This window comes from Homo sapiens, chromosome 4 (genome assembly GCF_000001405.40).
Source record: "Homo sapiens chromosome 4, GRCh38.p14 Primary Assembly".
NCBI lineage: Eukaryota > Metazoa > Chordata > Mammalia > Primates > Hominidae > Homo > Homo sapiens.
The window spans coordinates 88,847,627-88,874,227 of NC_000004.12; the positions used below are offsets into that span (position 1 = coordinate 88,847,627).

General features: G+C 38.4%; 1 protein-coding gene and 1 long non-coding RNA gene across 19 annotated transcripts in view; both read right to left on the reverse strand.

Moving 5' to 3' along the window:
• The window catches only part of FAM13A (family with sequence similarity 13 member A), a 331,226-nt gene that overhangs the window by 121,667 nt on the left and 182,958 nt on the right, over positions 1 to 26,601 (reverse strand). For all 18 annotated transcript variants that reach the window (XM_047449481.1, XM_047449479.1, XM_011531516.2 and 15 more), the window contains one exon: positions 3,394 to 3,557. In XM_047449481.1, the coding sequence (XP_047305437.1) occupies positions 3,394 to 3,557 (164 nt within the window). The remainder of the gene's footprint in view (positions 1 to 3,393; positions 3,558 to 26,601) is intronic.
• Positions 7,726 to 16,850, reverse strand: LOC124900732 (uncharacterized). Its single transcript, XR_007058189.1, has 2 exons — positions 9,065 to 16,850; positions 7,726 to 8,400 (listed from the first exon to the last, which is right to left on the reverse strand). It is a non-coding gene; the product is annotated as an uncharacterized LOC124900732 (long non-coding RNA).

Genomic DNA, 26,601 nt, shown 5'->3' on the forward strand with positions numbered 1-26,601 from the left:
GATGAATAAAAATTACATAAACAACAGGCCGGGTGCAGTGGCTCACGCCTGTAATCCCAGCACTTTGGGAGGCCGAGGCGGGTGGTTCAAGAGGTCAGGAGATTGCGACCATCCTGGCTAACACGGTGAAACCCCGTCTCTACTAAAAAAATACAAAAAAATTAGCTGGGCGTGGTGGCAGCCGCCTGTAGTCCCAGCTACTCAGGAGGCTGAGGCAGGAGAATGGCGTGAACCCAGGAGGCAGAGCTTGCAGTGAGCGGAGATTGCAGTGAGCAGAGATCGAGCCACTGCACTCCAGCCTGGGCAACTGAGTGAGACTCTGTCCCAAAAAAAAAAAAAATTACATAAACCACAAACATTTGAATTTTTCTTTTTACTATTTCACTTAAGGCATTTTTGACATAATTCTTTACAAGGTAATCTGGCAAAATAACATTGACACTAGCTCTTGTCACCTAGCCACTTGACTCTGATTTTAAAGAGGACCAGTATTTTGTATCTGTGCCCCTTACTCTTTTCCAACTGTTCCTCATTGGCCAAGGCTAATTCTTCTATTGCTTATGACCTTCTCTCTCCACCATGCAGAAGGTGTCCTGCCTAGCACTGTTTGTTCACATAAGCTATAATGTGGAAAGTGTCCTTGTGGTTGTACAGCGCTCAAGCTGCGTTACACAAGATATGGCCAGCTGGTCTCTGGATTCCCTCCTGTAGGTCCTTGTTCTATTACCTCCTGGCTTGCAACATCAGCTTCTCCTCTCCACTGGCTCTGCCCATTAAGCGTCTAAACGTGCCTACATTTGATTCATTAAAATATTTAAAAACCCCAGATGAAACACAATAAACACTGAAAAACTCCAACCCTTTCTGGACCAAGCCCTCCTGTAAGCAGTAGTCTATTCTCTCCCACACCTTCAAGGGACAAAGACTCATCCACACCTGCTCATTCTCAGTAAGTGACAATGACTTCGGGAAGGCTCTTACTTGCGCTGAATTGCTCCAAAGGCCTGCTTGCTGGTCTACCAGCACCTCTTACTTTCATCTTTCCTTGTTCCTTTCCTTTCCATGGTTGTCATGGGATCTTTGATAAGATACAAATGAATTTATATCATTTTTCTACTTATATTCCTAGAATTACTCCCTATTGTTTTCAAGAGAAAATCCAAATATGGGATATAGTTTTTCATGATCTGACCTATTTAGCTTAGTCTCTTAATTCACCTTTACCTTCCCCTACATTCTACATTGTAAACTGCAGATGTCCTGAATCCACTGCTACACTTGCAGTTCTCCCCCAAATTGTCCTCACTGCCCTGAACGTCCTCACATTTGTTGCTTTTTCTTCCAGGGGCACCCTTATCTCTATTTCCCTGCCTGATAAACTCATATGTGTTTTGTATTGTATTTGAATTGTATTTTATGTTTCTATGTATTTTGAATTGTATTTTATGTTTCTCAAGAGAAGCGCCTGAATCTTATTTATGATTTCAGTGTCTAGTACATAATAGGCATGTAGTAAATGTGTCTTTAAGGCAAATTATTGAATTTTCATTCATTCATCTTCTATCTCCCCAAGTGGGAGATTTACATCTTTCTAGTAAATGCCATATAACTAGATTTCAATAAAGATTAACACCTGTTGAAGGAACCAACACTGCAATTGCCTCCCAACTCTACCTCTTCTAATCTATCCTGCACACTGATGGAAGGTTACTTTTCCTAATATACTAACTCCCTATGGTATCTATCACCTCCCCTACCCAGCTCAAACTTTCATTGGCTTCGTATTACCTCTGGGATAAAATCGAGGTTCTCCTATTTCGGTTCTTTTGCATTTGCTATTATCTCTGCCTGGAATGCTCTTTCCTTGATTTTTACAGACTTTCTCCCCCTCCTTATGTCTCAGAACAAACTTTCCCTGACTACTCAAACTAAAATGATCTTTGCATCAGTCTATTAAACTGTTATAATTTCTTAATATCTTTCATTTATTAGAGCTGAAATCATCTTCCTCACAGTCTTTTTTTCTATCATCTCTCTCTATTGCTTTCCTTATTAGAATGTACGGTTCCTTAACACAGGGGCCTCGTTGGTTTTGTTCATTGCTCTGCATCTCCAGTCTTAAAGCAGTTCGTGGAACCAGAGGTTAACCACCCAAACATTTGTTCAACGAATGAAAGAATGAAAAAATACATGAACCAGGCATTCAAGGTCCTCTATGACCTGGCCTCACTCCACCTTTCCAGCCTTATCTCCAACTAATTCCAGTTTACAATTTCCAAAATACCTGTTATACCTCCTAAGTAAGCATATCTACAATACTCTTGTCTTCTTTCTCTTCCTATCTAAATTATCTTTATCATCTTCGCCATCTAAATTATCTTCATCAGATCCAGCCCAAATGCTATGTCTTCTATAAGGCAATACAAAGTGGCAAGCTCCTTAACTAAATTATTTCTCTGTTTAATGTCTTCTTTCAACTTCCTGGAGTATTTTTATTTTAAAAATAGGTTATAAGTTATAATAGAAGATATTATTAAAATGAAAATTATATAATTTCTGGAATTATAGTAATTCTAGTAGTAAATAAAATTCAAGCTAGTAGTAAATAAAATTCAAGCCCAAATTTACCTATTTTAAGAAAATTGTGGCCGGGCGTGGTGGCTCATGCCTGTAATCCCAGCACTTTGGGAGGCCGAGGTAGAGGGATCATTTGAGTTCAGGAATTCAAGACCAGCCTGACCAACAAGGTGAAACCCCATCTCTACTAAAAATACAAAAAAATTAGCCGGGCATGGTGGCACACACCTGTAGTCTTAGCTACTTGGGAGGCTGAGGCAGGATAATTGCTTGAATCCAGGAGGTGGAGGTTGCAGTGAGCCGAGATTGCGCCATTGCACTCCAGCCTGGGCAACACAGCGAGACTGTGTCTCAAAAAAAAAAATTGCAGTTTTTTTTCTTCGAGTATACCAGAGAAGTCTGCTTTCAGTTATAATGTGCAACATACTGGTTAAAAAGCAACACTCAAAATTAGTTTGTGAGAGTTGGTTCTAGTGACAACTTCGATCTCCACTTTAAATTGCAGATATTTTCTACTGAACATGCTATGAAAAAGCATCCAAAAATAACAATTCAACTTTAACTGTGAGCCTAACATAACTTCTGTTGATTAAATCACTTGTTTTAATCTGGAAAACAAAACAACTAGAATGCTTCTGTGATAAGAACTATTAGTCAGAAAATTCTCAAAACATAGAGTGAATTTTAAGTATCTTTACTGATCTATATCCTGTAAACTCCAGTGGCAGATCAATGCAGAAATACCTACATATGCGGGCCTAAACATAAGAGCGAATAATGCAATATGGATTGTGTAGATAAAGAAAACATGCCAACCTGGGTACCAACTTGGCACTAATAGCACCCTCTGCTGAATTCATGTCTTCCAAGCAGGCTTTTCTATAACTTAGCCGCAAGCTGAGCTGAGGAATGCCATCAGATAGCTCTGGTTGCAGTACTCTGTGGGCCTGAATAGATCCCTCACTCCTGGATTTTGGGATCTAGAAGAAAAAAAAAAGAGGGGTGGGGGAGAGCTAGATAAATGTTAAAGTCTTTCAAATTAAGTTTATGATAAAAGACAATTTATTCCAATTTTGCAATAATCCAATTTATAACACCCCAGAAAAATATCAAGCTAAAAATTAAATTTAAACTACATATAAAAATGATATAGCAAAGGGCACAGGGAAGGGGAGATACAAATATTTCCAAGGAGAACATTCAAACCTTATATACCCTACCGAGAACATTTCTATTCTGGCAGAAATCTTCCCCAGGCCCACCCCTCCTTAGAATAATCATTCTATGTAATGAGAAATGATATGGGAGTATGTCAGACTGGCAACTTGGATTGAAGGAAATAAAAAATAGTTGGAAGGAGGCAGGAAAAAAAAGAGCTAAGAACCACTGGAATAAAGGATGCCAGTGTCTGAAAGGTATTCAGAAATATTTACTACCAATAAGCAAAACACAAATTTGCTGATGGTTTCTATTGTAGCCCTCTTTTGTAGGGCAAAGTAAGATCTAATAAAATTTTGGTTAAGGTAATAAATAGGAAAAACACAAGCTTTTTAGTTTTCTTTTATCTTGGAATGCATGGGTAATATATGTCCCAAATGAATCCCGGGGGTACTGACTTCTCAGACTGTGTCTGAAGTTATGTTCCCTCTAGCCACCAAAATACCTTCATGTTCTCTTATTTTAGATCAGAATGAATATGAATACAATCAATATTCTTTTCCTTTAAAATGTAAAAAATATTATGCCAGAATTGTAGGAAAAATTAGAAACCTCGGATCAATTGTATTTGGTACACTGGAAGCTTTTTCTTGTCTCTAGGATTTTTCCCATGCTTGTCCTTACATCTGGAATGTCATGTGCTCATTGCTGGCCACTCAACTGCTTAAAACCAAACCAATCCTAACTTCCTTAGAGGCTGAGATAACTCCAGTGGACTTTCTCTAACTAACTTCAGGTCTTTTTTTTTTTTTTTTGAGACAGAGTCTCGCTCTGTCACCCAGGCTGCTGTAGTGCAGTGGCGTGATCTTGGCTTACTGCAACCCCCACCTCCTGGGTTCAAGCGATTCTCCTTCCTCAGCCTCCTGAGTAGGTGGGATTACAGGCATGCACCAACAAGTCAGGGTAATTTTTGTATTTTTTGTAGGGATGTGGTTTCACCATGTTGGCCTGGCCAGTCTCAAACTCCTGACTTCAAGTTATCTGCCCACCTCGGCCTCCCAAAGTGCTGGGATTACAGGCTTGAGCCACGGCGCCTGGACTTAACTTCAGGTCTTAATGACCTTTCCCAATTCTGAATTTCCATAACACACTACCACATAGTCTACCCTTGATTACACATTGCCTGATACTTTAATCTAAGTTTTCTCATGTTTCTAGGTCATATGGTCTCAATGGGTTCTCTGCAAATAGAGATCATAGTCTCCTCCTATTGTTTATCTCTTTCTCTCTCCTTTCTTTTATTCTTCTTATTAACATTTTTACCATAAAGTCTAGCAAAGTTTTGGATCTATTAGTAAATACTTATTGTGAGACAATCCACTTGTCAACCACAAGGTATTCTTAAGACATTGACTATCCCAGAGGATAGTTAATAAAACAGATAATTTTTAAAAGTAATATGGGAATAATTATGAACATAAATATTGAATAAATTCATGCCTCTATGAAGATTATATAAAAACAATATATGAAGAAATATGTATAATTATGACTTGTCAACTAAAAATAACATTAATTTACAAAACCAAACAACACACGCAAACAAAATATATGAACATAATTTGGCAAAAAGGTATATTTAGGATAGAGCAAAGTGAACTCAATAAAAGCTAGTTTTTATTATTATTGTTGTTACATAAAATTTGCCCAAATCTGGTGACTGACAATTAATTTTTCATGACATTTCTTTGCAGAGCATTCTTAAGCTCATAAAATCAGGAAAGCAAGGAAAAAATTTTTAAATATTATAAACGTACAAAAACACTTCTGTAGTCCATATTTGCTGAGACTGACTTTTTTATTGACAAAAATTATATATATTCATCCTGTACAACATGTTGTTCTGAAATATGTATACACTGTGGAACAGTTAAACAGATAATTAACATATGCGTTACCTCACATACATTTTTTGTGGTGAGAAAACTTAAAATCTACTCTTTTAGCAATTTTCAAGAATACCAAGAATACTTTTTTAAAAAAACATTAATAGCAAGAACATGAAAGTAAAAATATACGCTGTTATATATTTCATTAAGGAGCTCCTTTTGCATGTGATTATTTTTCATAAGAGTAGACATGAAAAATCAATAAAACCACTGAAAATGCAGTAAGATTTCAAACTAATTAGCCAAAAATCTCACATTTAGATTTAGTTCCCTGCCCATATTAAAGCAAGCACAAGGACAGTTGTTTGACAACATTTCATGGTGTTAAAATGAGGAGACTGTGATGGTTAATACTGAGTGTCAACTTGATTGAAGGATGCAAAGTACTGTTCCTGGGTGTGTCTGTGAGTCAGTGGACTCCATTTGAGTCAGTGGACTGGGAAGAGCAGACCCACCCTCAGTCTAGGTCGACACCATCTAGTCAGCTGCCAGCTCAGCTAGGATAAAAGCAGGCAGAGGAACGTGGAAGGACTAGACTGGCTGAGTGTTCAAGCCTCCATCTTTCTCCTGTGCTGGATGCTTCCTGCCCTTGAACATCAGACTCCAAGTTCTTCGGCTTTTGGACTCTTGGACTTACACCAGTGGTTTGCCAGGGGCTCTTGGGCCTTTGGCCACAGATTGAAGGCTCCACTATCGGCTTCCCTACTTTTGAGGTTTTGGGACTCAGACTGGCTTCCTAGCTCCTTAGCTTGCAGACAGCCTATTGTGGGACTTCACCTTGTGATCGTGTGAGTCAATTCTCCTAATAAACTCCTCTTCATAATAAACATCTATCCTATTAGTTCTGTCCCTCTAGTGAACCCTGACTAATATAAAAGAAAACTCCATGCTTTTATAAAACATATTCTAATCGAGGGGAAGACAGACAAGAAGTGGGCCCAGGAGGCCATTTAGACCCACCTTATCTCAGCAAGAGTTGCTTAGTGGCTCCATGAGGCTCAGGCAAGCCCTGCTAGTCAGGGACTCCAAATCGCGCCAACAGCCTTACCGTAATAAATGGAGTGAATGTGCTGGAAAGACATACCTGCAGCCTCTCTCATAACATGTGGCTGAAGCAGCAAAATGGCCAAGGGTTGGGGATACAGACTGGGGAGGCCAGCTTTCTCTTTCCACTGTAGTTATAACTGACATCCACTAGTTCACACCACACTTTGCTTCTTTCTTTTACTCATTTCTTCATTTATTTGATCATTTAGTAACTTTTGTATGTGAAGGTAAAAACTATAAAATCCCCCAAACCATCTATGATGAACACTTTGCTCATAAGAATTCTGCCACTGGCTATTTGAGATAAAGATCTACGTATACGCTGTGTGATTTATGTGTACAACTAAAATACAAACAATTACAGGAATCTCAAAAAGAATACATTCCATGCATGTATCTGCAAGTGCGCAGTAGCTCTAATTGTGGCATTTTTAAGGTGCTTTAGTATTTAACATGCCATGGGAATAAAAACAAATGAATGTTCTTTGAGACAGTAAAATTAGAAAACATTCTCTTAAATCCTGGTGCTGCTGCTGTTATAATTAATATTTACTGAGCACTTATTCTGTGCCAGGCATGGTTCCAAGAGATTTACATAAACCAACCCATTTAATTCTCAAAACCACCCAAGGAGTCAAGAGCTGTTATTATTATCATTTGAAAGATGAGGAAACTGAGGCACAAAAAATTTCATTTGTTCCGAGGAGTAAGTGGCAGAGTTACCATCAGAACCCAGACAGGCCTCAGTACCTGTGCTTAACCACTAGTCTATATACTTGGTTACATGTTAAATGTTGGAATTGCAAGAATAAATGGCATTTTAAATGAAATTCATACTACCTACCATAATGCAACGATTTTCTTTTTTCTTTTTTGGGTATTAGAAGTTAAATTTTTCTTTTCTTTCAATTTATTTCTCTGGCACCTGTTGAAGCATTCTAGAAACATAGCCTTAGGAAAAAAATCAAATTTGAGGACAAAACTAGATGGAAGATATGTTCATCATATTTTTATTTATAATAGAATGAAAATGTAAGCATTCTAAATAACCAAATTACTATCATACGTAAATTATGGCATATACACATGATAAAGGATTACCCAGCCATTAAAATACTTACAAAGTTTTAAATAAGATAGTAAAGTACTTTTTATGAGATACAGTATGAGCTAGTTTAGCAAATAAAAAAGCAAAAGGAGGTAGATATATACCTCCAATAAAACTAGGGTCATCATACTTAAAACACACAATAATTTGTTTTGAAAGCCAAAAAACAAATTGTCACAGTCAACACTAAAAATATTTTAAGATGGTCTAATCTTTAAAAATTGAATAAGGAACCCATCACCAAAAAAAAAAAAAATATGTGATACCAGGCACTAATTAACCCTGATAAATTAATGTGACTGAAAATAAAAAAGACATTAAAATATCATGCCTCAATCTTAATTTTTATACATTGCCATCATAGAACTGTGATGATACAACAGTAAGCTGTAAGGCTCTCTGTTCCACAGGAGAGTGTAGAGTACGAATTATCTGCCATGCTAAGTGGACATGAAGCAGGAGGGATTTCGTTTACTGGACAGCTTCTTTTCATTGTGGAGGAGTAGAAGGTTTCTCCACTTAAAAGTTTCTTCCCAGAAAAGTAATGTGCTTGTGAGTCAACTGCAGGAAAATTTAAAATAATAATTTAGTAAGCTATTATGAGACAGTATTGTTAGTAAGTAATTTTTAAAAGCTTAGGCATAATAAACTGATAGTTTAGACTTAGGAGTCACCCTAAGCACTGTTCAGTTGCTGTGCTGGCATTTTGAAAGTACAAAAACTCTAAGTGTGGACCGGGCATGGTGGCTCACACCTGTAATCCTAGCACTTTGGGAGGCCAAGATGGGGGGATTGCTTGAGACCAGGAGGTCGAGACAAGCCTCAGTGACATAATGAGACCCTGTCTCTACAAAATAATTAAAAAAAAAATAGCCAGGCCTTGTAGAGTCCACCTGTAGTCCCAACTACTTGGGAAGCTGAGGTGGGAGAATGGCTTGAGTCCAGGAGGTTGAGGCTGCAGTGAGCTGTGACCATGCCACTGCACTCTCATCTGTGTGACAGAGTGAGACCCTGTCTCAACATCCCCACCTCCAAAACAAATAAACAAAAAACCAAAAAACCCCAAAAAAACCAAAAAACCCAAACTCTAACTGTGTTCTTTTCATGGACTCCATATTCTTCATCAGGTACTCTGAGAAGTGATTAGGAAAGGACAGAAAATTATATTCAAGGCTTAAATGATTATGAAAGATTGAGATCGAAGGACAAAAGAAGTAGCACTAACTTTTAACACTTAGATTTTCTCAAGAAAGTTAACCAGTCCTCCTCATTCTCTTTGGCCTTTTCTCTCCTCCACCTGTCACTTGTATGGAAGATGGCAAAGCTTCTTGCCTCTCTTTCATGTTCGTTAAACTCATAATCTTCATAAGAAGAAATGTGAAATAACAAAGTATCAGAAAAGAGATGCTTAGTTCTGAATTTACAAAAAAAAGATACATAGTTTTAATTTAAAGACCACAAAAACTCCAAATCATAAAAAAGCCTTTGTTTTTGCTTAAAAAAAGTTTCATTTAGCTTTCCAAAAAAGAGATTTGTTTACTAAACTGCTGCTACTCTCCTCATAGATAATTTAATGAATCTCTCCTGTGCCAGCCACAGTGCTAGCTAATTAATGTTCCATTTTTTTTTCTGAGAAAATTATTAACATGCTTTAGGGAATATATATTTTTAGGAGGGGAGTAGTTTCTTACACATGCTTATCTTTTTTTGTAATAGTAAAAATGGGACAATGTTAAACAGTTATAACTAATTAAAATCTCATCTTGATCCAAGTTTTAGAGCAAGTCTGTATTTTAGCATAACTCAATTTAACTTTGTTAGAAAAATCACGCATAGATGAGAAAAAAGAAATTTTATACTTTTCAAAAGGTTTATGTTGAGGCCAAGTGTGGTGGCTCACCCCTGTAATCCCAGCACTTTGGCAGGCCAAGGCAGGCGGATCACTTGAGGCCAGGAGTTCAAGACCAGCCTGGCCAACATGGTGAAACCCTGTCAGTACTAAAAATAAAAAAAATTAGCCAGGCATGGTGGCGCATGCCTGCAATACCAGCTACTCAGGAGGCTGAGGCAGGATAATCGCTTGAACCTGGGAGGCGGAGGTTGCAGTGAGTGAAGATTGTGCCACTGCACTCCAGCCTGGGCAACAGAGCAAGATTCTGCCTCAAAAAAAAAAAAAAAAAAAAAGCTTATCTTGAAATATAAGAGATCAAATCAATTACAGGTTCACAGTGTGGCCCAAGCAAGTAACACTCCTTAGTTCTTTGTTTTCCTCAACTCTGCCCCTCTCAGCTCCTCTCTCTTCTGCAAACTGGGAAGTGCCATTCCAGCAGAAATGTTTGTGGGTTTTGTTAACTGCTATAGCCCTGCCTCATAGAATAGCACTTAGCAAACAGTAGGTGACCACTAAATGTCTGTATAATGACTAAGAAACTAAATAATAGCATCTACTTTCTTCCTAGAAACATTGAAATGTTAACAATCAGCTGATACTATAAAATATATTAATTCTATTGTGTAAACATTGCTCTTATTTTAGAACTTTCATTTATATTCAATTTCAAAATCTGCCACTTAAAAATAGTTACGGTACAGAGATCACAAGAATCTGAATTTATAGAGTAAAAGAATTATTAATGCATGACTATGAGTCAAGAAACTACATTGGCTCTAACTATATGGCCCCATGGTAGAGCCCCATGTCCTGAGACTTGGGCTCAAGGAAGCCTCACCTTTTAGAAGCTACTCAGGTAAATCTGTACATGGTAGTAGGGTGAGGTTTCTTATTAATCTCGACACAGTTCCATCTGCTATTTTACAAAGTTATTTGCTCAATTCTCTGACTTTAAGTCTTTTATCAGGAAAAAATTCAGTCAAAAAGTAATCGTTTATACTGAGCAGTGTAGGAATTAAGGTAGAAGACTTTAACAAATTTTCATTCTGTTACATAAAATTTTGCAGTAAAACATTTCATTTTGTATACTAATGTTCACAGCTGCAATATTCATGGTAGGCAAAAAGTAGAAACAACTCAAATGTCCATCAACTGACATATGGATAAGCAAAATGTGGTATATCTGTAGGGTGGAATACGATCAGTAATGAAAGGAATGAAGTACATGATAGAGCATAGATGAATCCTGAAAACATTATGCCAAGTGAAAGGAGGCAGAAACAAAAGGACACATATTGTATAATTCCATTGGCAGGAAATGTCTAGAACACGCAAATCCAGAGAGACAAAAAATAGATTAGTGGCTGGCAGGGGATGGAGGAGGGGAAGTAACTGCAAATGGGTATGGGGTTTCTTTTGAGGGTAATGAAATGTTCTGGAATTAGATATTGTTGATGGTTGCACAACTTTGTAAATACATGAAAAACCACTGAATTGTAACCTTAAAAGGGTGAGTTTTACAGTATATAAATTATATCTCAATAAAGCTGTTACAACAAAGAGGAAGATCAAGTGTGTCAAATGCCGCTGACAGGGCGAATAATGAAATCTGAGAACTGACCACTGAATTTGGCAATGTGCTGTTTCATTTTGTAGTAGGGATTGATTAGAGTGGGTTCCAGGCAAAAAAAGAGGAAGTGAAAACACAGAGCTTAAATAGTTCTTTTTTTTTCTTTCTCCATTTTCAAAGGAGAGCTTGTATAATTCTTTCAAGCAGTTCTGCTGTGAAGAATAGCAAAGGAAAGAGGCGATTGCTAAAGAGGGCTGAAGAGTCAAAGGAGGGTTGTTTTTATTTTCAAATAAGATGGAAAACATTATAGCATATTTCTATGCAAATGGGAATGATTCAATAGACAGACATCAAACTGGTGACCCAGGAGAGGGAGGAGGAAGGAGGAAAAATTGGGGGAGAGTTCTTGAGTGGGTGAGAGGGGATGGAATCATGCACACAGGAGAGGAGCTGATCTTAGTCAGGACTCTCAGCCCGTCCAGGAGATGGGAAGGAAGAAGGAAGAACACTGTGGGCCCAGAGGCAGGTGGTGGAGGGATATGAGTGTGGGAGCAGGTGGATGCTGTCTCCTGATGTTCTCAGTGAAACAGCAAGCAAGGTCATCCTCTGAGTGTGAAGCGGTGAAGGAAGTGATGTTGGAGGCATAATGGCCAAGGAGAATGTATGAAGGAGTTGCTTACAAGAGAGGAAGCATGAAGGGCTTGAGGGGAAGGAGCAGGACTGCCAGCATGAGGGCCCTTTTGAGGTTGAGAGCCATGTCCTTAGACCAGGACCTCAGCTTAGTTGCGTGGGTTTCACCAGCTGCATTCAGGTACTAAGATAGGCAAGGAGTGGGTATAGTGTTGTTTTTAGAGGGGGCTGGGATTTTAAGGTAGCAGACACTATTAGCTTCTTTATTCTGGTGCTGTAATAGCTTGTTTCCACATGTTGTCCTTATTAGAGTGAGTGATTTCCAAGTGTGTCTTTTTCATTTTTGTATCTCCTGCCTGTAAGTCTTCAACACAGAAGAGGCAATTAATGAATATTCAAAATACTATTTTCCTTATAAAAACAAATTCAGTAATTCCTTTGTTGCTTCTTTCCCCCTCCCTTGCTGCCTCAAACAGCTGATGCAATGTACTTATAAATCATATATTATAAAACTATAGCTAGTTTTTCCTTACAGGTTTCTTTATATTTAAGTGGACCAAAAATAATACATTCAAAAAATAATTGCATTGTGTTTTTCTGAGTACTTATTAAATAAGTTCATCAAAGCACTAATCAAACATGAAAACAGCTTTTGATAACCTGATTAATGTGTTCTTAAAATATTATCTCACTCTTCTAGCATAAATATTATGGGGAAAAATTAAGCAGCCCAGATTTCTCCCAGGAATGAGCATTAACGCCTCAGGGAAGGATGAGAATACTCAGGATTCTGTGCTGTAAGACTTACACTGTTCAGCAGTAGTTAAGCTGCTTCTTCTGGAAAACGTCTAGAAATAATTCTTTCATCTATGATTGTGAATAGTAAGTACCACAATTATCTGGTGATCTGTTTGCATTTCTATGATATATCCACAAGTGAAGGTACATTTGGGTTGTGGGGAAGAAGCACCTCCCACATTCCCTCAATAATAGTGAAGGGATGTTGCATTGAAAGGTTCTTCTGAAGGTGCTGTTTTGGGGAACAGGACAGCACATTTGTATCTGTGTGTATTTGTGAATGTGTACTGTGAGCATCACTGCCAGAAAATGATTAAAGGGATAAAACAAATGCCATTTATTCCTAATCCAAGCTTTCTTTTAATGTAGGCCCTACTATAAACAAGGGAAGCTGATGGAATGTTTTGCACTCCTTTTGCCAAACTCTGAGACTAATGAACCCTGTCCACAAAGCCAGCTGGAAATTGTAAGGCCAGGAATCAGTGAGGTTTCCTCCATTAGGGCGCCACTCATTGTGACAAGGCCATGAGGCATTACCAGTTATTTTACAAAATGTGCATTCTCAATGAACTAAAGCCATTTCTGTTGTCATATATATAGGTGAACACTTTATTTTACAACATATTCATTTATAGGGAGAAACTGGCTTTAAACTCTCTTTTTCTCTGTTGCCAGCTGCATGATGTGGAGTAAGTCCCTTAACTTCTCTGAGGCTCAGCTGCCTCATCTGTATAATGAAAAACCTACACCTCACAAGTTATTATAAAAATTAAATGACATCTTTGGGAGTCTGAGGCGGGCAAATCACCTGAGGTCAGGAGTTCGTGACCAGCCTGGTCAACATGGCAAAACCCCATCTCTACTAAAAATACAAAAATTAGCCAAGCATGGTTGTGCATGCCTGTAATCCCAGCTACTCAGGAGGCTGAGGCAGGAAAATCGCTTGAATCCGGGAGGCAAAGGTTGCAATGAGCCAAGATCATGCCACTGCACTCCAGCCTGGGCAACAGAGCAAGACTCCGTCTCAAAAAAAAAAAAAAAAAAACTAAACTAAACGAAATAATCCATGTATCATTATTGCCTGGAATAGACTGGGCACATAATAAATGACAGAAGTGAGAGTTATTAATTTTCATAATTAATAAAAATAATAAAAGACTGTGGAACTTGGGAAGACAAGTCATTATCAAACTATCCTAGTGGTTTATTCTTAAATAGCATTCTTCAAATTCAACAACAATTTAATAAGCATTTACCAAATGACTATGACATGCTGAGCCTTGGACTAGGCCCTGACATCATTAATGATGCTGGCTGTAGTCTTAAAGAAGTAGATAGTCTAGCAAGAAAAGAGGCACATGGACTCCTACCTCTAGTAATAAGCATAATTGCAATAATAGCTAACTGTTGAGTGCTTACTATATGGTAGGCATAATATTTAAACATTATCTATCTATCTATTCTCATTTTCAATTTTAAAAACCCTATGAAATAGGTACTACTATTTCCATTTTAAAGGTGGTAGAACAGAGATACAGAAAATTTAAGGAGCCTGCCCAAAGTCACACAGATAGTAAGTGATGAATCTAGGATTTGACTTGTGGCAATCTGATAACAGAAACAGCAATCTTAACTACTATTTCACACTGTCTCTCATATTTTTAAAAACATTCAATAGCAACAGATATTTATGGAGCACTTACTACCTGTGAATACTAAGGATACAAGAGAGACTAAATTAGACTTATTTCTGCACTCTAGAGCTTGTAGTCTAGTGGGGAAAACAAACATTAATCATGTAATTGCATGCATATATACATATGAGCTATGATAAATGTTAGGAAAAACTTACAGGTGTTAAGTAATGACTGTATAATGTATTTTTATATAATGTATATATACAATGCTATTTGAGAATACACATAAGGCACACAACTAATTCTGACGTAGGCAGAGAGAGGTGAGGAGGGAAGGCTTCCAGATAATGAAAACAGAGGGAGCAAAGGCATAAAATAAGAAATCTGAAATGAGTGGGCATGGAAGGAAATAAAGAGATGGTGGCAAGAGTTGGGACTAGAAGGTTGGGCTGGACTCAGACTGTTAAGGCAGTGTATACCATGCTAAAGGGTTTGACCTTTATTTGCTATTCAGTAGGCAACAAAGCATTTTATAACAGTTATTATGTCCATGATGTGGAGAAAAAACTAGGTTCAGTTTTTGGACTGAAATTCCCCCAAACACTAATCTTTGTTGATAAAATATAAGGCCCTGGATTACATACATACCTTTCATCTTCTAACTTTGATGCTCACTAAAGAGATCTTGTGCAGTGGACAATTATTAGTTGTCTTCTCAGTGCTCATATCCCTCCTTCTTCTGTTCTGATGCCCCCAGTTAGTGTACACGTATTATGAACCAGTTTTTTACGTGTAAAAATAAATAAACAATAATAAAATGTATAAGGAAGTTTGGGTAGATCCATGAGTTGCTAGGCTAGTTACCAGTCTTTATCATTCTACGTAAATAATATAGTCATTAAGAGAGACTTCTCACTGGGACATCATGAGGAAAAAAAAAAAACTATGTTTTTCTTTCCTTTTTTATTTTTTCTTCCTTCATTTAGCCAAAGAAAAGATGGGTGTGACAAATATATACATATATATTTGGTCTTAGTCCCTGGTTCCTGATATAAGATCTTCTAAAACCCTTGGACTGTCCAGTGATGAGTGCCTTTTTGCATATTAATGAGATGATTTGAGGCTGAAAACTGCTAGAGAGCTTCAGGATGAGGACTGGCTGCCAGAGGAACTAACTGCGTGATTAGAGGGTGGGAACTTACAGCCTCTAGAGAGGGGAAAGGGGCTGGAGATAGAATTCAATCACCAATGACCAATGCTTTAATTAATCGTGCCCACCTAATGGAACCTCCATAAAAAGCGTAAACAATGGGCTTTGGAGAGCTTCCAGGTTGGTGAATACATGGAGGTGCTGCGAGGGTGGTGTGCCCAGAAGGGGCACTGAAGTTCTGTGCCCTCCCCCATACTGTGTCCTAAGCATCTCTTTCATTTGGCTGTTCTTGAGTTGTATCCTTTAAAATAAACTGGTAAGTATGGCTAGGGTGCTTTTCTAAGTTCTGTGAACTGTTCTAGCAAATTATCAAACCTGAAGTTGGGGCCATGGAACCCCTGATTTATAGCCACTTTGTCAGAAGTACAAGTCACAACCTGGGACTTACATCTGAAATTGGGGACAGTCTTGTGGCATTTGACTTGCGGGGACTATGCTAATGCCAGGCAGTTAGTGCCAAAACTGAGTTAAATTGTCAGACACCCAGTTCATGTCTGCAGATAATTGGAGAATTGCTTGGTATGCAAAACACACATTTGATGTCAGAAGTGTTGGGAGGATGTAGAAAGAAAAAGAGTTTTGTTTATGTTTTTTTTTCTTTTAATGGGATAAAGGGATGTGAGCTTCCTGATAACAAGATGAATAAATAAAGGCCTGGATAGAGTCATCAGGGTAAGTTTCCACTTAAAGGATTTCACATGAAGCAGAAAACAAACAAGTTCAAATTCAAACTTTCATGATGTTCTCAGAATCCAAACTGTAAATCTGAAGAAGATAATCAAACAGGGTTGTCTTTAAGATCAAGAAGTAAACAAAAAAATCGGAATATATTGCGATAATAGAATTCGAGAGAAAGAATAAATCATTCATTCATTCAACAAACTGTCAGGCAATATATTAGAATCTAGATATGTGACACCTTACAACCTTATTCTGAAAGAGTTTATACTCTACTGAAAGGTAAAAAGAGAAGTAGTCAAAGGAATGCTATATTGATGTGGGACACAATAGAAGTGATCCTTTCCAGTCAGGGAGAAGGATGCCAGGAAAGATTCCAAAGAGTCATTTACAAGATTAGTGTTTGATAGGTAGATGTGGATGTTGGTGGAACTTCAAATAAATTTCTTTAACCCTTCTCTAAATAAAACCTTTCTTTCAGAGTTATTAAATCAAGATGATTGCTAGCATTTCATTGTGTTTGTGATCTTATTTATTTATTTATTTTTGAGACAGAGTCTTGCTCTGTCACCAGGCTGGAGTGCAGTGGCACGATATCAGCTTACTGCAAGCTCCACCTCCCAGGTTCAAGCTATTCTCCTGCCTCAGCCTCCCGAGTAGCTGGGACTACAGGCACGCGCCACCACACCCGGCTAATTTTTTGTATTTTAGTAGAGACGGGGTTTCACCATGTTTGCCAGGATGGTCTCCATCTCCTGACCTCATGATCTGCCTGCCTCAGCCTCCCAAAGTGCTGGGATTACAGGCATGAGCCACCATGCCCGGCCATTTGTGATCTTTTAAAAAGGAGTTACCTATGTTTTTGTGCTCTGCTTTATAAGCATGTGCTATTTTTAATAGAGCTTTTCTTAAAAACAAACAAACAAAATGTCCCTTTCTCTGTCATTCGTAAGTGTAAGTAGTTAAATGGAAAGGTGGTAACTACTAAGTCTCCAGGCATAAAACCTATGCATAGTATATTCTCCCAAATATATCTAGCTATTAAGTGACTACAGAGCATCACAGGGTATTTCAAAGGAGTAATCAACAACTTGTGAAAAATATCAGGAAAAATTTTCACCTACAGCCACTCCAAGAGGAAAAAGAAAGTATCTGCGAAAAAATGTAATTGGATTCCTTGGGACATATTTACATGGATTAAGCAAATATGAGTCAAAAACAAAATAAAAGCAGAAGAAACACTGATAAAAATTGTAGTAAATTTTTGAAAATTTATTTTTCCTATTTACATTGTCTGTTATTATTTTTGCCTTAGCCTATATCTCAGGAAAAGCCATATTGAGAAATGATTCACTCTAAAAGTGACTCATTAGATGGAAATGTAAAGGAAGAACCAGTGTGATTTCTTAATTAAAGGAATTTTAAGCATAGTGTTGGTCAGTTAGGCACAATTATTTAAAAAAGCAAAATATTAAACAATCAGGAATATAATTTTGAAGTAAAATAAATTCATCTGCTTGCAGACAGTAAATAGTTTATACCTTATAGCTAATACGTAAGTTTTAAAATGACAATATAGTTGTAAAATAGGCCCAAAAGAATACAAAATAATTTCAACCATGTAAGTTCTGAGTTTTAGTGCCTAGTAACGGTAACAGCAAATCATGATATTGAATAGTGATGATAAAAACTCAGATGTTTACATCAATCTACAGCAATTATGCTCCTACATTAGGAGCTGGCAAACTTTTTCCGTAAAGGGCCAGATAGTAAATATTTAGGGTTCATGGATTACACAGTCACTTTTGCAACTACTCAGCTCTGCCGTGGACAGCATGAAAGCAGCCACAGACAATATATAAACAAATGGGCACGGCTGTGTTCCTACAAAACTACTGACAAAAATAGATGGTACGCGGGATTTGGCCTGTGGGCCACTTTGTGCTCACCCAAATTCTAACATCATTCATTTCTTTCAACTTTTTCCTTTGTCTCTCTCTTTTTTTTTTTTTTTTTTTTTTTTTTTTTGAGACAGAGTCTCACTCTGTTGCCTAGGCTGGAGTGCAGTGGCACAGTCTGCCTCCTGGGTTCAAGCGATTTTCATGCCTCAGCCTCCCAAGTAGCTGGGATTACAGGCACGAGCCACCATGTTCCACTAATTTTTGTATATATATATACATTTTTTGAGATGGAATCTTGCTCTTATCCCCCTGGCTGGAGTGTAATGGCATGATCTTGGCTTACTGAAACCTCTGCCACCTGGGTTCAAGCGTTCTCCTGCCTCAGCCTCCCGAGTAGCTGGGATTACAGGCGCCTGCCACCATGGCCCAGCTAATTTTTGTATTTTTAGTAGAGACGCGGTTTTGCCACTTTGGCCAGGCTGGTCTTGAACTCCTGACCTTGTGATCTCCCCATCTCAGCCTCCCAAAGTGCTGGGATTACAGGCGTGAGGCACTGCGCCCGGCCTAATTTTTGTATTTTTAGTAGAGACAGGGTTTTGCCATGTTGGCCAGGCTGGTCTAGAACTCCTGACCTCAAGTTCAGCCTGCCTTGACCTCCCAAAGTTCTGGGATTATAGGCGTGAGTGACTGTGCCCGGCACTTTTGCTTCTATTTTTGCAATCATCAAAGGGCCAACCTTGCACATAAAATTTGCTATTTATTTTAAATTATTAGATCTGACCCAACTGTATCTACATAATTAACTTTTCAAATATGCACAGTCCAGAATACAAAAAAAAATCCTCAATTCCAATGGAAATCAGGAACATTTTATATTCCAATCAAGGAAATACCAATCCACATCTATCATGTAGGTAAATATTTAAGGTTGATAGTGCCCTATGCTTGATAGTTTGTAGAGCAGTTGGAACCTCTATACTTTATTAGTGAAAATACCATTAAATAGAATGTTTTAGAGAGAAATATGGCGACATACACTCTTCCTGAAAATGTGTGGAGACTTTAATATTTCACTCCTACCTACATACCCTGATGAAATGTTAATATAATTTTTTAAACTTTTTAAATTAAAAATTGAACATAATCTAAATATGGGCAAAGGGTACATACATGTGGCATAGTCATAGAAGATAATATCATAAAGCAGTTAGGTAAATATACAGTAGATTCTCATTATGTGTGGTAGTTATGTTCTATAAAGTTGCCATGAACACTGAATTAGTAAATACCGAATCATTGCCCCTAGAGGAAATACAGGTTCCTGTGAGCCTCTGGTCACATTTTTCTCAAATGATCAAGACATAATGTTGTTTTGTGTGTCTTTCTGTGTTTAAATACACCTTATTTAATATACTTGTTGGTTTATTAACACCAAACTCACAACTAACAGTGCTGTAACTCATGCCTGAACAAAGCTTATCTTAAACACCTGTCCTCCACTTATCCTCCGGAAGTCACATCACAGCCTTCTTGTGCTTTAGAAACATTAGACAGCCCTTCAGCATACACTTGGGAACCATTTTAAAGAGGGAAATTATGAACAGAAAGCACAACATGTAAAAAAACATGACTAAATAGAACACGAAAAGGACACCTGTTTACAGGATGACAGCTGTCAAGAAGGAGGGTCATCACCTTATTTGACCTTGGCTGAGAATATGCATTTCTCATTACGTGTATTTTTTGCCTCCTGGCATGTTCACAAATGACTGCAAAAGGACTGTTAAGTATTGACTTTGGGGTTACCAGTACATTTGAGCGCGTAGGCAAATTCACAAATATAGAAGACACAAATAATGAGGACTACTGTACTATATTTTGCATGTTTCAACATAGATCTATCTTAAAAAAACACTGAGGTGAATGAAGCAAGTTGGAGAAGGATATGTACAGCATGATACTTCAACAAATTTATATATAATTTCAGGGATATGTGCACATGTGATAGAAATATAAAAACATTTAGGGAAATGGTAGATACCAACTTTAGGATATGGGTATGTAGGGGGAGAAAAACTAACAACAACAGTTAATTGAAAAGAAAAGTGGTGGCTCAAAGGGCAACACGCAATGGAAATGTTATTAAAAACTATAAATGCTTTTTGAAACTTCAAGGAAAATAATTACATTTTATTGTACTGAAACTCACTTCTAAAGTTTCCAAACAGAGAAGTTAAGATTGATTTTGCCAAGGATGTTAAAATATCAATACTAAACTTGCCTCTGTTTTCTGATCTTGAAAAAAAAGATGATCTGCAGGCAGTTTTTCATTTTTGCTAATTTCTAATCAATAAATATGCTGCTGTGCTTTATCTGCCTTGTCAAACTCTATAATGAATACCCAAACAAAAATTTTTCATGCTGGTCTTAGCACTTCATGAGCGGAGGCCCCAACATTATCTTAAAATCTCACAGACTCCATGCCCCCAAAAACTTATCCTCTTCCCAGTCATCGAGTAAGTGCCTTTTCCTTTGGTTCTCTCCTTGATGAAGGCACGAACCATCCACCCACTTGGATCTGGAAGTCATCCCTCTATGTTTCCTTGCCACTTACCAAGTCCAGCTTTTATCTGTTTACTTTCCTTCCCTACCTATCACTTTAGTTTGGGCCCTTCCCACTTCTCATTTGGATTATAGCTTCCTAACTAGTCTCCCTTTCAATCCACTCTCCCTCTTGCCAGGGGTGATCTGATCTTATCTCCAGATTAAAACTGTTCAGTGGCTTTTCACCTCCTATAGTCTATAATCCATACTCTTTGGTCTCACATTAATGGCCCCAGACTATTTCCGCAGGTTCATTGCCTGCTGTTTTCCTAGACACACCGCACCCTGTAAACCAAGATTTATACATGTCTATAAACATGCACTTTCTCTCACATGCCTCCCTCCCTTTGTACTCTTTTACAACACTTAAGCTCTATATTGGCTAGTCAATACATATATAATCTCTCTATGACGTCAACTCAGGCATAGCAGTAATCACCTTCCTCCTTAGTTTGTTAATTATACTACAGAGATGATTATGCTCCCTCATTTATGCACCAAATTCCATCCATACACCAATAATTCTTAATTTTTATCTTTGTCCAGACATCTCTTCTGAGTTCCAAATGTATATTCAATCATGATCTTCAATCAGCATCTTCATTTGGAAGATGGTAAAACTAAAGCACAAAGAAGTTATGGAGCACACAGCAGGGCTAGGACTCAAACCATTAGACTATATGGTCTCCAATCAGCTAGTTACCCATACCAGGAACCTGAGAGTCATCTTTATCTCAAATAAGTCTACTTTGTCTTCATCCATTCCAGCCTTTCATATATCATTGCCTGGACAACTCTAATTGCTTCCTAATTGGTTTTCTCACTTCCACTTTTGCCTTCTTCTGATTATATTCACCATACAGAAGCCAGATTTATATTTTTAAGCAGAAATTTAATTACAGTTGTCCCTGTTTAAAACTTGTCAATGGTTTTTCATTTCATTTTGGAGATGTTCTCAAACTCTTGGCAGGCTTTCTCCAGCCTTTGTGGAGGCAGGTACTTCTGCTTCTTTCACTGGGCTTCAGCCTCCTGCAGTGGCCTCCCTTCAGTTATCCAGCCCCAGGGCCTTATCACATGCTGTGACAATATCGGAAATGTGCATATTACCATTCCTCACTACTCTCATGTGCTTTGGTCTCAAAAGAAAGGTAGATTCCTTCAAGAGGTCTTCCCTGATGTATCAGCTTAAATCAGGCACCCTTGTTATATACTCTCAGGGCACTTTATTTTCCTTCTAAGCAATTTACACAATTACTAACTAAACACTTGAATGTTAGTTTATATTGCTTGCTAGTCTGAAGATTCCATGTATCAACTTCAACTATCAACTATCAACTTCAATATCTGAATTCTTGGATTCTAGTTCAATACCTGGCATGTGATAGACAATTATGTATTCTGAAAAAAATAATTCAGGCTAAATGCCTGATATGACAAAGAGATCATCAAAACAGACATGACTGCATGAAAAGACGAAAGGACTAACATGGTGAATTATTCAGAACATGCAAGCAAAATCAATATGTGCCCAGATGAAATAGGACCAATCACAAAATACTCATAATTTATATAATTTATATTCTCTCTAATTATGTCAGCTTTCAAAATCCAAGATTAATTCTAAACTGAGACTTTGACAATTTAAATTCAACTTGTTACTACTCTGAGCCTTTGATCTAAAGCACATTATTTCTCTGTGCTTCCTTTTTCCTTAAAGTAACTAAACATTTCTGTTGTAAAAAAAAAAAAAATGAACAGCAATGGGCATTCTAAGAGTGAAAACAAGATGGCTGAATAGGAACAGCTCCGGTCTGCAGCTCCCAGCGTGATCGATGCAGAAGATGGGTGATTTCTGCATTTCCAACTGAGGTACCTGGTTCATCTCACTGGGACTGGTTGGACAGTGGGTGCAGCCCACGGAGGGCGAGCTGAAGCAGGGCAGGGCATCGCCTCACCCGGGAAGTGCAAGGGGTCAGGGGATTTCCCTTTCCTATCCAAGAAAAGCTGTGACAGACTGTACCTGGAAAATTGGGTCACTCCTGCCCTAATACTGCAATTTTCCAACAGTCTTAGCAAATGGCACACCAGGAGATTATACCCCGCGCCTGGCTTGGGGGGGGTCCCGCGCCCACAGAGCCTTGCTCATTGCTAGTGCAGTGTCTGAGATTGAACTGCAAGGTGAAAGCCTGGCTGGGGGAGGGGCATCTGCCATCACTGAGGCTTGAGTAGGTAAACAAAGCGGCCAGGAAGCTCGAACTGGTTGGAGCCTACCGCAGCCTGCCTCTGCAGACTCTACCTCTGGGAGCAGGACACAGCTGAACAAAAGGCAGCAGAAACTTCTGCAGACTTAAACGTCCCTGTCTGACAGCTCTGAAGACAGCAGTGATTCTTCCAGCACGGTGTTTGAGCTCTGAGAGCAGACAGACTGCCTCCTCAAGTGGGTCCCAGAACTCTGTGTAGCCTAACTGGGAGACACCTCCCAGTAGGGGGCAACTGACACCTCATACCAGCCAGGTGCCCCTCTGAGATGAAGCTTCCAGAGGAAGGATCAGGCAGCAACATTTGCTGTTCTGCAATATTTGCTGTTCTGCAGCCTTTGCTGGTGATACCTAGGCAAACAGGTCTGGAGTGGACCTCCAGCAAACTCCAACAGACCTGCAGCTGAGGGACCTGACTGTTAGAAGGAAAACTAACAAACAGAAAGGAATAGCATCAACATCAACAATAAGGACATCCACACCAAAACCCCATTTACAGGTCACCATCATTAAAGACCAAAGGTAGATAAAACCACAAAGATGGGGAGAAAACAGAGCAGAAAAGCTGGACATTCTAAAAACCAGAGTGCCTCTTCTCCAAAAGATCACAGCTCCTTGGCAGCAAAGAAACAAAGCTGGATGGAGAATGACTTTGATGAATTGACAGAAGTAGGCTTCAGAAGGTCAGTAATAACAAACTTCTTCGAGCTAAAGGAGGATGTTTGAAGCCATCGTAAGGAAGCTAAAAACCTTGAATACAGATGAGATGAATGGCTAACTAGAATACACAGTGTAGAGAAGACCTTAAAGGACCTGATGGAGCTGAAAACCATGGCACAAGAACTATGTGATGCATGCACAAGCTTCAGTAGCCGATTCGATCAACTGGAAGAAAGGGTATCAGTGATGGAAGATCAAATGAATGAAATGAAGCGAGAAGAGAAGTTTAGAGAAAAAAGAGTAAAAAGAAACAAACAAAGCATCCAAGAAATATGAGACTATGTGAAAAGACCAAATCTACGTTTGATTGGTGTATCTGAAAGTGATGGGGAGAATGGAACCAAGTTGGAAAACACTCTGCAGGATATTATCCAGGAGAATTCCCCAACTTAGCAAGGCAGGCCAACATTCAAATTCAGGAAATACAGAGAATACCACAAAGATACTCCTCAAGAAAAGCAACCCCAAGACACATAATTGTCAGATTCACCAAGGTTGAAATGAATGAAAAAATGTTAAGGGCAGCCAGAGAGAAAGGTCGGGTTACCCACAAAGGGAAGCCCATCAGACTAACAGCGGATCTCTCGGCAGAAACTCTACAAGCCAGAAGAGAGTGGGGGCCAATATTCAACATTCTTAACGAAAAGAATTTTCAACCCAGAATTTCATATCCAGCCAAACTAAGCTTCACAAGTGAAAGAGAAATAAAATACTCTACAGACAAGCAAAGGCTGAGAGATTTTGTCACCACCAGGCCTGCCTTACAAGAGCTCCTGAAGGAAGCACTAAACATGGAAAGGAACAACCAGTACCAGCCACTGCAAAAATATGACGAATTGTAAACACCATTGATGCTAGGAGAAACTGCATCAACCAACGGGCAAAATAACCAGCTAACATCATAATGACAGGATCAAATTCACACATAACAATATTAACCTTAAATGTAAATAAGCTAAATGCCCCAATTAAAAGACACAGATTGGATAAAGAGTCAAGACCCATCAGTGTGCTGTATTCAGTAGACCCATCTCACGTGCAGAGACATACATAGGCTCAAAATAAAGGGATGGAGGAAGATCTACCAAGCAAATGGAAAGCCAATAAAAGCAGGGGTTGCAATCCTAGTCTCTGATAAAACAGACTTTAAACCAACAAAGATCAAAAGAGACAAAGAAGGCCATTACATAATGGTAAAGGGATCAATTCAACAAGAAGAGCTAACTATCCTAAATATAAATGCTCCCAATACAGGAGCACCCAGATTCACAAAGCAAGTCCTTAGACACCTGCAAAGAGATGTAGACCCCCACACAATAATAATGGGAGAGTTTTAACAACCCACTGTCAATATTAGACAGATCAACGAGACAGAAGATTAAAAAGGATATCCAGGACTTGAACTCAGCTCTGCAGCTTAGCAGACCTAATAGACATCTACAGAACTCTCCACCTCAAATCAACAGAATATACATTCTTCTCAGCACCACATCACACATATTCAAAAATTGACCACATAGTTGGAAGTAAAGCACTCCTCAGCAAATGTAAAATAACAGAAATTATAACAAACTGTCTCTCAAACCACAGTGCAATCAAATTAGAACTCAGGATTTAAAAACTCACTCACAACCACACTCCTATATGGAAACTGAATAACTTGCTCCTGAATGACTACTGGGTAAATAATGAAATGAGGGAGGAAATAAAGATGTTCTTTGAAACCAATGAGAACAAAGACACAACATACCAGAATCTCTGGGACACATTTAAAGCAGTGTGTAGAGGGAAATTTATAGCACTAAATGCCCATAAGAGAAAGCAGGAAAGATCTAAAATTGACACCCTAACATCACAATTAAAAGAACTAGAGAAGCAAGAGCAAACACATTCAAAAGCTAGCAGAAGGCAAGAAATAACTAAAATCAGAGCAGAACTGAAGGAAATAGAGACACAAAAAAACCCTTCAAAAAATTAATGAATCCAGGAGCTGGTTTTTTGAAAGGATCAACAAAATTGATAGACTGCTAGCAAGACTAATAAGGAAGAAAAGAGAGAAGAATCAAATAGATGCAACAAAAAATGATAAAGGGGATATCACCACCGATCCCACAGAAATACAAACTACCATCAGAGAATACTATAAATACCTCTAGGCAAATAAACTAGAAAATCTAGAAGAAATGGATAAATTCTTGGACACATACAGCCTCCCAAGACTAACCCAGGAAGAAGTTGAATCGCTGAATAGACCAATAACAGCCTCTGAAATTGAGGCAATAATTAATAGCCTACCAACCAAAAAAAGTCCAGGACCAGATGGATTCACAGCCGAATTCTTCCAGAGGTACAAAGAGGAGCTGGTACCATTCCTTCTGAAACTATTCCAATAGAAAAAGAGGGAATCCTCCCTAACTCATTTTATGAGGCCAGCATCATCCTGATACCAAAGCCTGGCAGAGACACAACAACAAAAAAGAGAATTTTAGACCAATATCCTTGATGAACATTGATGCAAAAATCCTCAATAAAATACTGGCAAACCGAATCCAGCAGCACATCAAAAAGCTTATCCACCAAGATCAAGTTGGCTTCATCCCTGGGATGCAAGGCTGGTTCAACACACGCAAATCAATAGACGTAATCCATCACATAAACAGAACCAAAGACAAAACCACATGATTATCTCAATAGATGCAGAAAAGGCCTTCGACAAAATTCAACACTGCTTCATGCTGAAAAACTCTCAATAAACTAGGTACTGATGGAACATATCTCAAAATAATAAGAGCTATTTATGACAAACCCACAGCCAATATCATACTGAATGGGCAAAATCTGGAAGCATTCCCTTTGAAAACTGGC